The sequence below is a fragment of the Homo sapiens genome, chromosome 17 (genome assembly GCF_000001405.40).
Source record: "Homo sapiens chromosome 17, GRCh38.p14 Primary Assembly".
Classification (NCBI taxonomy): Eukaryota; Metazoa; Chordata; class Mammalia; order Primates; family Hominidae; genus Homo; species Homo sapiens.
The window spans coordinates 59,376,355-59,390,407 of record NC_000017.11 but is presented as its reverse complement, the minus strand read 5'-3'; the positions used below and the strand labels follow the sequence as shown (position 1 = coordinate 59,390,407).

At 44.6% G+C, this 14,053-nt stretch overlaps 1 protein-coding gene across 2 annotated transcripts in view, besides 1 other annotated feature; it reads right to left on the bottom strand.

Annotated features, from left to right (window-relative positions):
* Nucleotides 1–14,053, bottom strand: part of YPEL2 (yippee like 2) — a 70,075-nt gene that overhangs the window by 11,322 nt on the left and 44,700 nt on the right. For both annotated transcript variants that reach the window (NM_001005404.4, XM_017024621.2), the window contains exons 3-4: nucleotides 2,038–2,081; nucleotides 940–1,048 (exon numbers count right to left, since the gene is read on the bottom strand). In NM_001005404.4, coding sequence (NP_001005404.1) covers nucleotides 940–1,048; nucleotides 2,038–2,081 — 153 coding nt within the window. The remainder of the gene's footprint in view (nucleotides 1–939; nucleotides 1,049–2,037; nucleotides 2,082–14,053) is intronic.
* Nucleotides 11,869–12,368: an enhancer, noted in NCBI's record as "H3K4me1 hESC enhancer chr17:57455401-57455900 (GRCh37/hg19 assembly coordinates)". NCBI's record gives its function as "activates a minimal SCP1, AML or CMV promoter by ChIP-STARR-seq in naive H9 embryonic stem cells {active_cell/tissue: H9 hESC(naive)}" and the evidence as "EXISTENCE:reporter gene assay evidence [ECO:0000049][PMID:30033119]".

The following is a 14,053-nucleotide window of genomic DNA, read 5'->3' as shown; positions in this document are numbered from 1 at the left end:
CACTTTGGGAGGCCAAGTTGGGAAGACTGCTTGAGCTCAGGAGTTTGAGGCCAGCCTGAGCAACACAGTGAGACCCTGTCTCTATTTATTAAGAAATAAATTTGTTGGCCAGGCATGGTGGCTCACACCTGTAATCCCAGCACTTTGGGAGCCTGACGGGGGTGGATCACCTGAGGTCAGGAGTTCGAGACCAGCCCGGCCAACATGGTGAAATCCTGTCTCTACTAAAAATACAAAAAATAAGCCAGGCATGGTGACGCGTGCCTGTAATCCCAGCTACTTGGGAGGCTGAGGCATGAGAATCGCTTGAATCTGGGAGACAGAGGTTGTGGTGAGCTGAGATTGCGCCACTGTACTCCAGCCTGGGCGACAGACCAAAACTCTGTCTCAAAATAAAATAAAATAAAATAAATTTGCCTAATATTTAAAAAACAGCATGGGCTCTGTGTCAGAATACTACTACATGGTCACGTCCTTTGAGAATGAAAAATTTAGAAATAAAAAATAAATAACAGAATATTACATGGATTCCTATCCTGGTGTGGCTATTTAATGGCTAGATTGCCTTGGACATACTATTAACCTCCTTAAGTCTCAGTATCCCTATCCATAAAATAGAGGTGAAGATAGCATCTAACCTCTAAGGCTGCTGATGCATGCCTGGCATCTAGTGAGCTGTCGAGTAAGGTTATATGCCATTACTATTATTATTTATTAAATCTAAAGGGGTGTGTGTCTCAGGGGGTAGGTGTGAAGGAATGAATAGGAGGAGGGAAATATATCAGCAGAAAGGAAAGAATGAGTGTGGTAGACAGGTGACTATTCTGGTCTAAGACAATCCCACAAGGCCATGGAAAGCGAGTAGAAGAAAGTGTTCTGGCATAAGGCTCTTGGCAATTCCCTTCCAGCCCTCTACCAACCAAACTCCTTTATACTTACGTATTTCCAGCCCAGAGTGGTTTTGCAGTTTTCACAGTAAATGTCTGCGACTGCATGCAGTCCTGTTAGCAACACTCGCTCTTCTGCAGGCCCACAGCCCACATTAACTCTATGTCGAGGCACAAGAAGAGAGAGTGGGTAGTTAGTGACACGCACATCAGGCATTCAAGCTGAGCTTCCAGCAAAAATTAACTGGGAAAGGCTGTCCCAAGGGGAGCCAACCCTGAGCTGAGCAGATCTAAACCAATCCCCAAAAGGTGGCCACAGGGAAATATCTCAGCTGGAAGGAAATTCAGATCTGCAAGTTCTAGTGGAGTGGGTCTACCGAAATAATCTTTATGGTTGAGAGTTTGCTTAAAATTTTAATTTTTCTAACAAATACTTTAAATCTGTGACTTAGGGGGACAAGCTGACAGCCACACTGTGAAGTCCACAGCCATGGGCACAGGTCCTCACAGCTTACTGAGGACTGAATGAAGCTGAAGATGCCACACATGATAGCACAGTGTGGTCCTGATACAGGAATGAGTGATCCCTGGGTGCTGAATAGGCTCTACTCCTTCACAGGGTGCCCAGCTCAAGCCACAGGCCAGATTTTCATTTTTACAGTTTATCAGGCTTATGTAGGCTTCACCTTCCCTTCCCAGGGAAGAGGTGATAAACCTGGTGCCTGGGGATGGCTGAGTGCCCTGGAAACTGTGCATCTGCCCGAAGTGGGCCTTCCTTCCTCCTTAGGTCCCGCAGCAGATCTTGGTGTCTTTTTCACCCATATTCTCTTCCCCAGTGACAAATCTCAGATCTCATTATGAGCCCTTCAGGTTGAGGCTCTCAGAATCTCCTCAGCTTCTTCCCTGTGGGACTACAGTCCTCTGGTGTGCCCTCTGAGGGGAATGTAGTGAATATATTATTTTTAGCCAGAGATGTTGGCAAGAAATGTTCCCCAAAGGTAACTGACTACCAATTGTGGACAGTAATGCTCCACAGAGTTTTACTGTGGCAGACAGGGCAGGGTTCATTGTTTAATTATCACCAAGGATTGCTTTTTCCCATCCCTCGAATCTGTACCCCACAAGGAATGTACCATTCAGAGGCACTCACACTGAGTTAAAGAGGTATGCTCGTCCTTGACTTCCTTGGAATGACTGAAATGCAAGAAAACAAATCGATAGTTAGACATCCATTTCACCTATCTGTTTGGGAAACCAACCCCAATCACAGTTAAGCATGACCTTCCAGGACTGACACAGCAAAAGGGAGTACTGAGCCAGTTAACGGTCCCGCTGGCAGATGGTGTGGGGGCGGAGAAGAGGGCGGAATTAACAGAGCCACAAAGCTCGATCTGGCCCACCGGACTGTTTTCACTAGCCCAGGTGAGAAAATGAAAAAAACCCAAAACCACTATGTCATTAAAAACTTCTTCCCTCCTGACATTGCCTGATGTAATTAATTCACCTGAGATCATTAATCCGCATTGGCGTTTCCTGGTCCCACCTGATTTCAGCCATCTGTGCTGGCCACAGCTTTCCCAGGCTGGCCCAGGCATGGAAACCACCACAAGCTCCTTCGCTTGGCCTCTTGGTCCAGCTCTACCAAAGGCAGCAAAAAAATCCCTGACCCAAGAAAAAACTATCCAACCCACACTTATCGCTTGTCATGCCTTCTAGAAGATCCTAAGTGCCATGACAGTTTACAATCCTAAATGGGAGCACAGGAGCTCTTTTGAGATGTAAGCAACTTGATCTCTGCATCACAGAAATGCTCATGAAGCAGCAATTCCACTTTAACCTCTAGCTTACATATTAGTTTCTTTCTTTTGGCTGGAGGGCGGCAGGGAACAGGAGAAACAGGAGCCAGAGCCTGCCATGCAATCTGGCGTCTGCTTCCATTAACACGGGCCCTGTCCATGTTTTCCTTCTCTGGTTACACTGAGAAGTCGGCCTGACATGAGCCAGCCATGTTCTGCACTGCCGCCTGCATTTTTAATGTGGTCTAACAACAGTGTCCTGAATTTAGTATCTTAGTCTGCTCTGAAAACCAACCAACAAACAAGGAGATGAGTGGCTAACAGATGACCAGAGGGTAGGTGAGCACCAGATAGGACTCAGATCAGCACGCGAGACAATCATTTTTGTCAGATGTGCAGGACGTCAGGGATCAGTGCTGCCAGCCAGTGTGAAAGACAAAATTCTTTTTTTTTTTTTTTTTTTTTTTAGATGGAGTCTTGCTCTGTCATCCAGACCAGAGTGCAGTTGCGCGATCTTGGCTCACTGCACCTCCATCTCCTGAGTTCAAGCGAGTGTCCTGCCTCCGCCTCCTGAGTAGCTGGGACCACAGGTGTGCACCACAACACCCGGCTAATTTTTGTATTTTTAGTAGAGACAGGGTTTCACCATGTTGGCCAGACTGGTCTTCAACTCCTGACCTTGGTGATCCACCCGCCTCGGCCTCCCAAAGTACTGGGATTACAGGTGTGAGCCACCACACCCAGCCAACAAACTTCTTTACTTGTGGAAAAACTGCCTCTGGGGCAGCTGGATTGTTGGTTGCCTCCAACATTCAAATACACCAGACACCTTCACTCCCAGGTGCATCTGCAAGGGGCAGGCAGATATTCCCCAGCTGGTGCCCAGACCCAAACCAATTCTCTCCTTTTTGGGGTCTTGAAACATCCCTGGGGAATATAGCAGCTTCCAGGCTACAACTGAGCAGCTATGAGTGTCAAAGCCTCAAAACCTGGAACCTGGAAGTCCATGCTGAGTGTTTGGATAAGACAATGTCCCAGCGACACAGGTCTAGACCTGGCCACACTGTTCAATCCTGGAGCACAAACACCACTCCAGGGCTTCATGACCTGGCCATGCCACCTCTCCTGCCTCTTCTCTTGCTACCTCCCCATTATGTCCTTCACTCCAGTCAGGCCAAACCACAGGCAATTCCTGGAAGTTGCATTGCACTAACTTTGCCCATGAAGTTCCCTCTGATGGGGAGGCTCTTCCACCTGACCCAATAAGCCTCAGCTCAGCTCCCCTCTTTCATTAAGCTTTCCCTAAACTCCCCAGAAAAAGGCACCCAATGATACTCATGTTCTAGACTCTTCATGTTCCCTGCATTTCCTTTTTCTTTCTTTCCTTTTTTTTTTCCCCCAAGAGAGTCCCACTCTGTCACCCAGGCTGGAGTGCAGTGGTGTGACCATGACTCACTGTAGCCTCCACCTTCTGGGCTCAAGCGATCCTCCTGCCTGAGCCTCCAGAGTAACTGGGACCACAGGTGCATACCACCATAACCAGCTATTTAAAAAAAAAAAAATTTATAGAGACAGGGTCTTGCCATGTTGCCCAGGCTGGTCTTGAACTCCTAGGCTTAAACAATCCGCCTGCCTCAGCTTTCCAAAGTGCTGGGATTACAGGCATGAGCCACCGCACCCGGCCTGTTTTCCTTTGCCTTAGCACTAGCATCCTGGATTGAAATCATCTGTTTATTTATCTCACTCCCTCAGTAGACTGTGAGCTCCCTGAAGGTGTGCGCCATGTCTTCAATCTCTCTCTGAATGCCAAACACATAAGAATGTGCATCTGGCACACAGTAGTCATTTATTAAATATTCTGAGTCAACTAAATTGTCTCTAGTTTTTTTTGTTTTCTATAAACAACTTTTTTGAACTATAAGTGACATAATAAACGGTGTATATTTGAAGTGTACTATTGGATGAGTTTTGATATCTGTATATACCTGTGAAAACATCACCACAATAAAGATTAAACTACCCATGACACCCAAACATCTCCTCATATCCCTCTGAATCCTCCCCTCCTCATCCTCTTACCACTTATAGATCCATAGGCGATTACAGCTTTCTGTCACTATAATTTGTATTTTCTGGAATCTTTTTTTGAGACAAGGTCTCGCTCTGTCACCCAGGCTGGAGTGTAAAGGCACGATCATGGCTCACTGCAGCCTTGATCTCCTGGGCTCAAGTGATCCTTCTGCCTCAACCTCCTGAGTAGCTGGGACTACAGGGGCGCACCACCATGCCTGGCTAATTTTGGATTTTTTGTAGAGACGGAATCTTGCCATGTTGCCCAGGCTGGTCTCAAACTCCTGAGCTCAAGCAATCCACCCAATCGGCCTGCCTTGGCCTCCCAAAGTGCTGGGATTACAGATGTGAGTCACTGCGTCCAGTCTAGAATTTTTTAAATAAATGAAATGTATTTTCTTTTACAGTGTATATGTGTTTGTCTGACTTTTTTCACTCAGCACAATTCTTTTAGGATTCATTCATGTTGAACATATCAACAATTTATTCCCTTTTTGTTGCTGAGTAGTACTCTATTCTATGGATATTATAGTTCATTTCTTTTTGGTTTGGTTTTAATAAGAGATTTGAACTAGCTGACCTTCAAATCCCCTTCTAGCTTCAAAATTATATTCTCTTATTATTCCATGGTCCTAAGTTACAGGTAATTTGGAATGTCATCCTCTAAGAAACATTTGCTAAGACCTTCAAGTTCGGAGCTTAGAAGAAGGTGGCTACTGGGAAACAAATCCCAGAAGAAAGCAGACAGGAAAGTAACAGGAAGCAACAGAGCTTCACCATTAATGACAGAGAAAGACTTTGAAGAATGCATTCACTTCTTTCTCACTCCTAGATCACTGACTCTCTGCCAGACACAATTAGAAATACAGGGAGACAGGCAACATTGTGAGACTTACCAGGGCAGTGGTATCCCAGCAAGGTGTGCAAGACAAACCCCCAGACAACCCTTTTCTCCAGGGCAGGGAGAAAATACTAGCTCATTTTATACATTTTATCTTTAAAAAATAAGTTTTGCTAAACAGTTACAATACATGGATTGCCACTAGGACCTTCCCTGGACTGGTATGTGTCCTGTATGTATAGGTATCTGGAAGAAAGGGGCTCCACTGTGGGGGTTAGAGGTGACAAAGGTGTTCTTTTTCTGTCTCTGCTTTCAGCGTATTGTGAATACTGTTGTTTCTGTGAATAAGGCCAATCTTATTTTTTTAAAAAACACGATTTTAAATAGCAGGGTCTTTGCAATGTTTTGCATATGAGATGAAGTACTACAAAGGGGTTCACTTATGGTAAAGTACCTGAAACCTATGCTACAGAGACAACTTGTTTTTGTCAATATTTTGTGGCTAAAAAATGATATGCTTGTACAAAATTAATTTGAAATGGAGGATATTCAGAAGAAAGTCTTTGTGACCTTGTGTTAGAAGAGGTTCTTAGATACACCAGAAACACAATCCATAAAAGAGAAAAAAACTGATAAACTGAACTTCATCAGAATCAGTCCACATTAGAATGGTTAAATTTTTGTTCTTTAACTGACAAAACCAAGTGTTGGCATGAATGTGTAGCAACTGGAAGTCTCAAACATTGCAAAATGGTACAGCAACTTTGGAAACGAGTCTGGCAATTTCATTTACCCAAGTGAAACGAAAGCCTATGTTTATACAAAAACCTATATGAGAGTGTTTTTCACAGCTTAATTCATTATCGCCCCAAACTGGAAACAACCTAAATGTCTCAAATGGTGACCGGATAAATAGATTGGTATATCCATATACTACTACTCTGTAATAAAGAGGAACAAACTATTGATATACAGAACAACACGGATGAATCTGAAATACATTATGCTAAGAAGATCGGTGGCTGCTAGAGGTTATGGGTAAAAAGAATGTTTAACTATAAGAGTTAGTAAGAGATATGGAATTGTTCTGTTATCTTGGTAACAGAAGAATGGTACTCTTAGGCCCTATAACAAAAGAAAGTCTTATAATCACTATTAGACCATATATATATATATATATATATATATATATATATATATATATTTTTTTTTTTTTTTTTTTTTTTTTTTTTTTTTTTTTGAGACAGAGTCTTGCTCTGTCACCCAGGCTGGAGTGCAAGCTCCACCTCCCAGGCTCATACCATTCTCCTGCCTCAGCCTCCCGAGTAGCTGGGACTACAGGCACCCACCACCACGCCCAGCTAATTTTTTGTATTTTTAGTGGACACGGGGTTTCACCGTGTTAGCCAGGATGGTCTCAATCTCCTGACCTCATGATCCACCCGCCTTGGCCTCCCAAAGTGCTGCGATTACAGGCGTGAGCCACCACGCCCGGCCTAGACTATGTATTTATAAGACTGTAAGACTAAATAGACTATAAGACTCCAAGGTCCTAAGACTTATCTATGTTAAAACTCGTATGACTATTCACCAAAGAGTGAATTTTACTGTATGTAAATATAAAAATAAAATTTTTAAAATTCAATAAATTTGTAAAATAATAATCCATTTCTAAAATCTATGCCTGCACACTCAATTCCTATATCTATACAATTAGGAATTGTAAGCAATTCCCTAATCTATTTAAAACTATTCCAAACAAAGAGTTTCAGAGGGGTTTGAACCCTTGTTCATTTTCATATTTTTAAATTCTCTTTTTAAAATTATATTTGTGAAGGATTTTTCCGAAATATTGTAAGAACACTTTTCAGTGCTAGGCGTGATGGCTCATGCCTATAATCCCAGCACTTTGGGAGGCCGAGGCAGGAGGACCACTTGAGGTCAGGAGTTTGAGACCAGCCTGGTCAACACAGTGAGACCTCATCTCTACAGAAAAAACCCAAAACCAAAACCAAAAAACCACTTTTCCTAAGAGTTTTCAAGAACAACCCTCTCATTAGAATACGTCTTTTGAATTACTGCATCAGAAAGTGATGAACCAAGATTTTTTTTAAAGGAGTATATCCAATTGCATATACCTTCAATAAAATTTAAAACCATTTTCTAATTTTTCTTTCATCCATTTAAATTATACAAATGTTCATTAAAAATTGTATGCTTACAATGTACATATTACATGGCAGCACACATATGTAATTCATAAATAAGTACATATATATTAGGAGTTTATGCTCAAACATTTTACTGATAGGGGTATGTCATTTTAAAAGTGTGAAGGCCAATGTTCTGGGGGTTTCTGTCTGCTTCCAGGCTGGGCCTAAGAGTCACTTTCTCTGGCCTGACACAGATTAGAATTCCTAGAGAGAGGCGGGGTGGAGGATGGCACGTGGCAGAGCAGAGAAATGCCAGCCAGGCCCTAAGGCACCTCCAAGGGCCCATGGCTTCTTCCAGGCCTGTTTTGAGAGAGTCTGCGGGGAGAGGCCCACATGTACAAAGGGTACTGAACCCCCTCAGGGCTGTCCTGGTGGCCATAGCCACTCAGGTTCCCTTGAGGAGCAGTATCTATGAACCTCTGTTTCCTCGGCCTGGCACTCGGGATCAGCTGTGTTTTTTGAGGCAGAGTTCTGGAAGACTTTTCCATCATGGGTTCCATTCTGGGGCCCCTGCCAAGTCAACATTTATGATGAGAAAAACAGCCATGGAGAACAACAGGCATCTTGCAGATAGACAAGAATAGCCCCAGCTGGGCTGCTGGATCCTGTGGGGCCCAGCCCAGCCTGGCACAACCTGGCACGGCCTGGAGAGAGGGTGGTACCGAAGGTGGGGAGACTGAAAGGAAGTTAAGGAAGCAATTAGAATAAAGCAAACAGAATTTCAGACCAGGAGATGCCAAACAGACTGTCAGACACATTTGTTTGCTGTCATTACTGCCAGGCAACAAGGCGGCTCTTTTCCATGTTGTGTATCAACCAAGGCTGGTGTGCAGGCCTCCAGGAAAGGGTTTTTGTTTTGTTTTTTAAGCCACACAAAACTTTTCTTCTGTCCTTTAAAGTAAAGTAATAGTTCCAGGCCCAGCCCTTCCAGCCAGCTCAAAGGAACAGAAAGGGCTTTGAGTTTCCTGTTTAGTAGCCAAAACCACGGATTTTGGGCCCCTTTGCAAGTCTGGAAGGCAGAAACTCCTTTTAAAAGTAGGAGAACCACTGAAAAATGAATACTCTGGATTGAAGCAGGAGGCAGCAACAGAGCAAATGTGTGAGTTTCTTCCCCCTGGTGATAGATACAGGTCCTCACCTTGGAGTCCTATTCACTTGAACAGACTTCTCCCTAAATGAAGGGTCTAGCAGAGGAGCAGAGCCTCTCAAACTTCAGCCCCCTTCTCTGTCTAGGAAGATCAACCATCAGCTACCAAGCATGTGCCTCAGGAGGTGCAGAGAGAGATGGGGAAAGCAGACGCCCACCTGCCACACCATCTAACATCTGGGAACTAGGTGATCCCTTGCATATCTGCACGGTGTAAGAGGATCTAGTCTTGGCATCAGAAGATTCAGGTTCAAGTCCTGGCTTTACAACTTCAACTTATTAGCTACTTGACCCTGGAAGAGTCAGTTAACCTCTGAGCTGCCACATCTTTTTCATCTGTAAGTAGAAACCATGTCCATTTCCTAGGGTTGCTGAGAAGAATAAGTGAGGTCAATGAAGCACAAAGTAAAAAGTCCCTACCTCTCCTCCTTGGCCTTTACAGGAGCCTGGAGGAGAGAGATGAAGAGGTTGACTCTAACCTACTTGGTTCTTCAAACCTCTTTCTTTGGTGACTTTGGTCTCCCTCTTTCTCTATTACGCCAAAAGGCAAGGCTTCCCCACTTTGCAATTCAATGTCTCCATTAAAATGGAGGGATGGGACTGAAGCTCCCAATGATACTTTCCAGTTACAATTTTCTGTGAATCCACCGCTTTTAAAGCACCTGGCACTTGCTTCCCCAATTTACCACTCATACACAGTGTTAACTGCACAAGCTTCAAAGAGTCATATTGCCAGGGTATGAGTCCTTGTTGTACTGTATACTAGCTATGTTACTACCTTGAACAAGCTCATTAACCTCTCTGAGCCACAATTTTCTAGTCTGTAAAACAGGCATAATAAAATAGCTCTCACTCACACCTGATTTGTGTAAAAGATAAGTTAGGGCTGGCCGTGGTGGCTCATGCTTGTAATCCTAGCACTTTGGGAGGCCAAGGAGGGCAGATCACTTGAGGTCAGGAGTTCGAGACCAGCCTGGCCAACATGGCGAAACCCCGTCTCTACTAAAAATACAAAAATTAGCTGGGCGTGGTGATGCATGCCTGTAATCCCAGCTACTTGGGAGGCTGAGGCAGGAAAATCACTTGAACCTAGGAGGCACAGGTTGTCGAGACAGCACCACTGCACTCCGGCCTGGGAGACACAGCGAGACTCCATCTCAAAAAAAAAAAAAAAAAAAAAAGAAGTTAGATACTGTTTATCAAGTGCTTCATAAACTTCAAGACTATATACTTTGTTACTGTTAGAATGTTTCTATTATGCAGCTTTAAACAAAACTCATTAGGCTGAGCGTGGTGGCTGAAGCCTGTAATCCCAGCACTTTTCCCAGCACTTTGGGAGCCTGAGGCAGGTGATCACTTGAGGTCGGGAGTTCGAGACCAGCCTGGCCAACATGACGAAACCCAGTCTCTACTGAAAATACAAAAATTAGCTGGGCGTGGTGATGCATGCCTGTAATCCCAGCTACTCGGGAGGCTGAGGCAGGAAAATCACGTGAACCCGGGAGGTAGAGGTTACAGTAAGCCGAGGTCACACCACTGCACTCTAGATTGGGTGACAGAGTGAGACCCTGTCAAAACAAAACAAAACAAAACAAAAACCCCAAACTTATTGATGTGCTGAGTTCACTCAGAAACAAAAAAAACTTACTGGTACAAACGTAAACTTGAGCTTTTAAAAATTGAGATATAATTCACATTACAAAAGAGTGTGAGATATATTCACACTCTTTTAAAGTAGACAATTCAGTGGTTCTTATATTCACAAGGTCACGCAACTATCACCACTATTTCCAGAACATTTTCACACTCCAAAAAGAAATCACACACCATTAGCAGCCAGCCTGTCTCCCGTGCCCCCAGCCTCTGGCAACCATAAATCTACTGTCGGTCTCTATGGATTTGCTCCAGGCACTATACATTTTAACTCCTTTTAGGCGTCTCAGTGAGAAGGCATCAGAAGTGTGTAGGTAGAGATACAAAGGAGGATTAGTAAAACCTTTGCCCTTGGAGTGTCGTCTAAACCCCTCCAACTCAACAGATCTCACATTCTGCAGGGAAGGGTCAGATCAGTCCTTTTTCCATTCTTTTCTCCAACCATGGTTAGGCCTGGTGAGCTTTCCTATATTGGGTCAAAGTAAGCTATAGGTTCCATTCCAAAGAGTTGGAACCCAAACAAAACAGCCCTAGATCCTGTTTAAGATTTCAGCCTTGGGGATGCATACGGAGAAAGTGAGAGGGGTGATGATAAAGAACAAAGTTAAAAACTTCCAGAATTAGAACCCGAGTGCAACTTAAAGAAGCTGTGAACATTTAGCTAAGAGGAAAGACTGAAGGGGATTTATTCCATCTTCTCTGCAGTAAGAACAAGAGGACACAGACGGAAATGAGAGAGACTTGGGTTAATTATAAAGGAAGAACTTCCTGACTCTATTCGTCTTCCACATGGGGACATAGGTCACCAGTAAAGACTAGGATAGAACAAAGCCACTGTATATGCTTATGATTTTAAAAAGACTGTCACACACCTGTCTAGGAACCTTTGAGATGGGGGTAAAAAGCCGAGGGGCAGAAGGATGGCTTTCTTAAGGCCCCTCCTCCCGTGGATTTGAGCTATGGTAGTCTCCAAGCACTCACACATTCCCACAACAGATGGAGGGAGGGGCAGGGAAGCCACTGGCTCTAAAGGAGGAAATATCTGCTGTGTGGAGTCATAAAATTCCAAGAGCATGGGAACATTCACGATGCTTGGAACTACAAAAACAAAAGGTGGTGAGGGGGCCTGGGTGCTGGTGTTTTATTGATGAAAGGGAGAGATCCAGCCAGGCACGGTGGCTCACACCTGTAGTCCCAGCACTGTGGGAGGCTAAGGTGGGTGGATCACCTGAGGTCAGGGAGTTCAAGACGAGCCTGGCCAACATGGTGAAACTCCGTCTCTACCAAAATTAGCTGGGCGTGGTGGTGTGCACTTGTAATCCCAGCTACTTGGGAGGCTGAGGCATGAGAACTGCTTGAACCTGGGAGGTGGAGGTTGCAGTGAGCTGAGATCACGCCACTGCACTCCAACCTGGGTGACAGAGTGAGAACTTGTCTCAAAAAAAAAAAAAAAGGAGGAGACTCTGGGACTTAAGCCATTTAATGATCAGACTTTCAAATTCCCTTCCTGTTGACCTACACAAACTGGGCCCTTTTAGAGTCCTTTTAGGAGTCTCAGTCACAAGGTATCAGAAGTGTTTTGGGGGAACTAAGCCACTTTCAGGGATGGGCCTAGGGAATGGGACAGAGAGAGATCCTATAAGATCTGTTGCCTCATGGTGTCGTGTTGCCTGATGTTCAAGGGAAAGGATGCCGGCTTTGGAGCCTGAGAGGGCCTGGAGCCAGCCCTCACTAGCTGTATAAACCTTGGGCCAGTCACTTCATCCTTCCGAGCCTCAGGGTTCTCTACAGAAAGGAGGAACATATTGCCGATTCAATAACGCCCTATTCCAGAGGGACGTGGTGAAGATGAAATGATTGTGTGTATAGTAAGTACCAAATGTGGCTCATAAAAAGCATTTAATAAACGTGTGCTTCCCTTCACACCAGCACAGGCTTTCAGGATTTAAAATGGGAGCTGCAAAACTAGTCTGGAAGGGCCAGGCTGTTCAGCCTGAGCACCCCAGATTCTTCCAAATCCCCCTACGGCTTAGACCCCATAAGCTCCTCTCCCACACCTCTTCCAACTGTCCTAAGAGCTTCAAATGGGGCTTTGGCAGTGTGCTGTTCTCTGCTGAACCAGGAGCAGGATAAACCTCTCCAGTCTGTGGCATGGGGTTAGAACAGCAGATGCCAAGGTAAACATGCAGCCAGTGGGAAAGCAGATGCTGCCAGCTCTCAGCATCCTGCAGAGAGGGAGTGAGGCATGGGAAGTATGCCTCGTCCAGAAGGATGGAGTGGGGGATGCCCATGATCAGATATCCCCATCCTCTACAGAAGAGAGGCCAACATGCCATCCTCACCAGGTCTGTTCAGGGAGTCTAGCTTCTGAGTTAGACACTGACGGTGGTGCCAGGATGCAAGGGCAGTCAGCCATTAAGAGCTGGGCCCTCTGCAGTTCAAATATAAGCCAGAACCTTTAGGAGGGCTGAAATATTGGAGCTCAAATGTCTCTCAAAGCCATCGGGCCCTTGAAAACAACTGTTAGAGTTAAAAAGGATAATATAAATTAATATGCCTAGGAAGAACAAATATCAATTTCCTGATTTATGTTTCAATTTGCATTCCTGATCCCAAAGCCAAATGGGCACTGGCCAATGAAAATGTTCTTATACTTCAAAGGTTGTCTATGAAGTCAGTGGGCAAAACCTACCGACTCCCAAAGTAAGACTTCCTTTGTAACCAATCTAGGCAAAAAGGCCTGAGAAAGCCACCCTCCACAATGGAAGCCACATGCTACAGAAGGGATTGCTTTCAAAATATTTTCTTTCTTTCCTTTTTCTTTGTTTTTTTTTTTTTTTTTTTTTTTTTTGAGACAGTGTGTTGCTCTTGTCACTCAGGTTGGAGTGCAGTGGTGCCATCTCTGCTCACTGCAACTTCTGCCTCCCAGGTTCAAGTGATTTTCCTGCCTCAGCCTCCCAAGCAGCTGGGAGTACAGGCGCCCACCACCACGCCTGACTATTTTCTAATAAGCAATCACTACAGTGAAATTAGAGTTTGTAAATGAGACTGAGGTGGCTCATAAAAATGAGTTAGAAATTATGAAATAACAGTCATGGCTCACACTCATATGATGACTACCATGTACTAGGGCAGGATTCAAACAGTAACTCAAAGTGAAGTAACTTAATCCTCTCAACAAAAAACAACGAAAACCAGGTGGGTATAATCATTCTTCCCACCTTACAGATGAGAAAAGTACGGAGAAGAGAGGCTAGGAAATATGCCTAAGGTCAAACTATCTGGCCGGACATGGTGGCTCACACCTGTAATCCCAGCACTTTGGGAGGCCAAGGCAGGTGGATCACCTGAGGTCAGGAGTTCCAGACCAGTCTGCCAAAATGGTGAAACCCCGTCTCTATCAAAAATACAAAAATTAGCCGGATGTGGTGGCGGGTGCCTGTAAT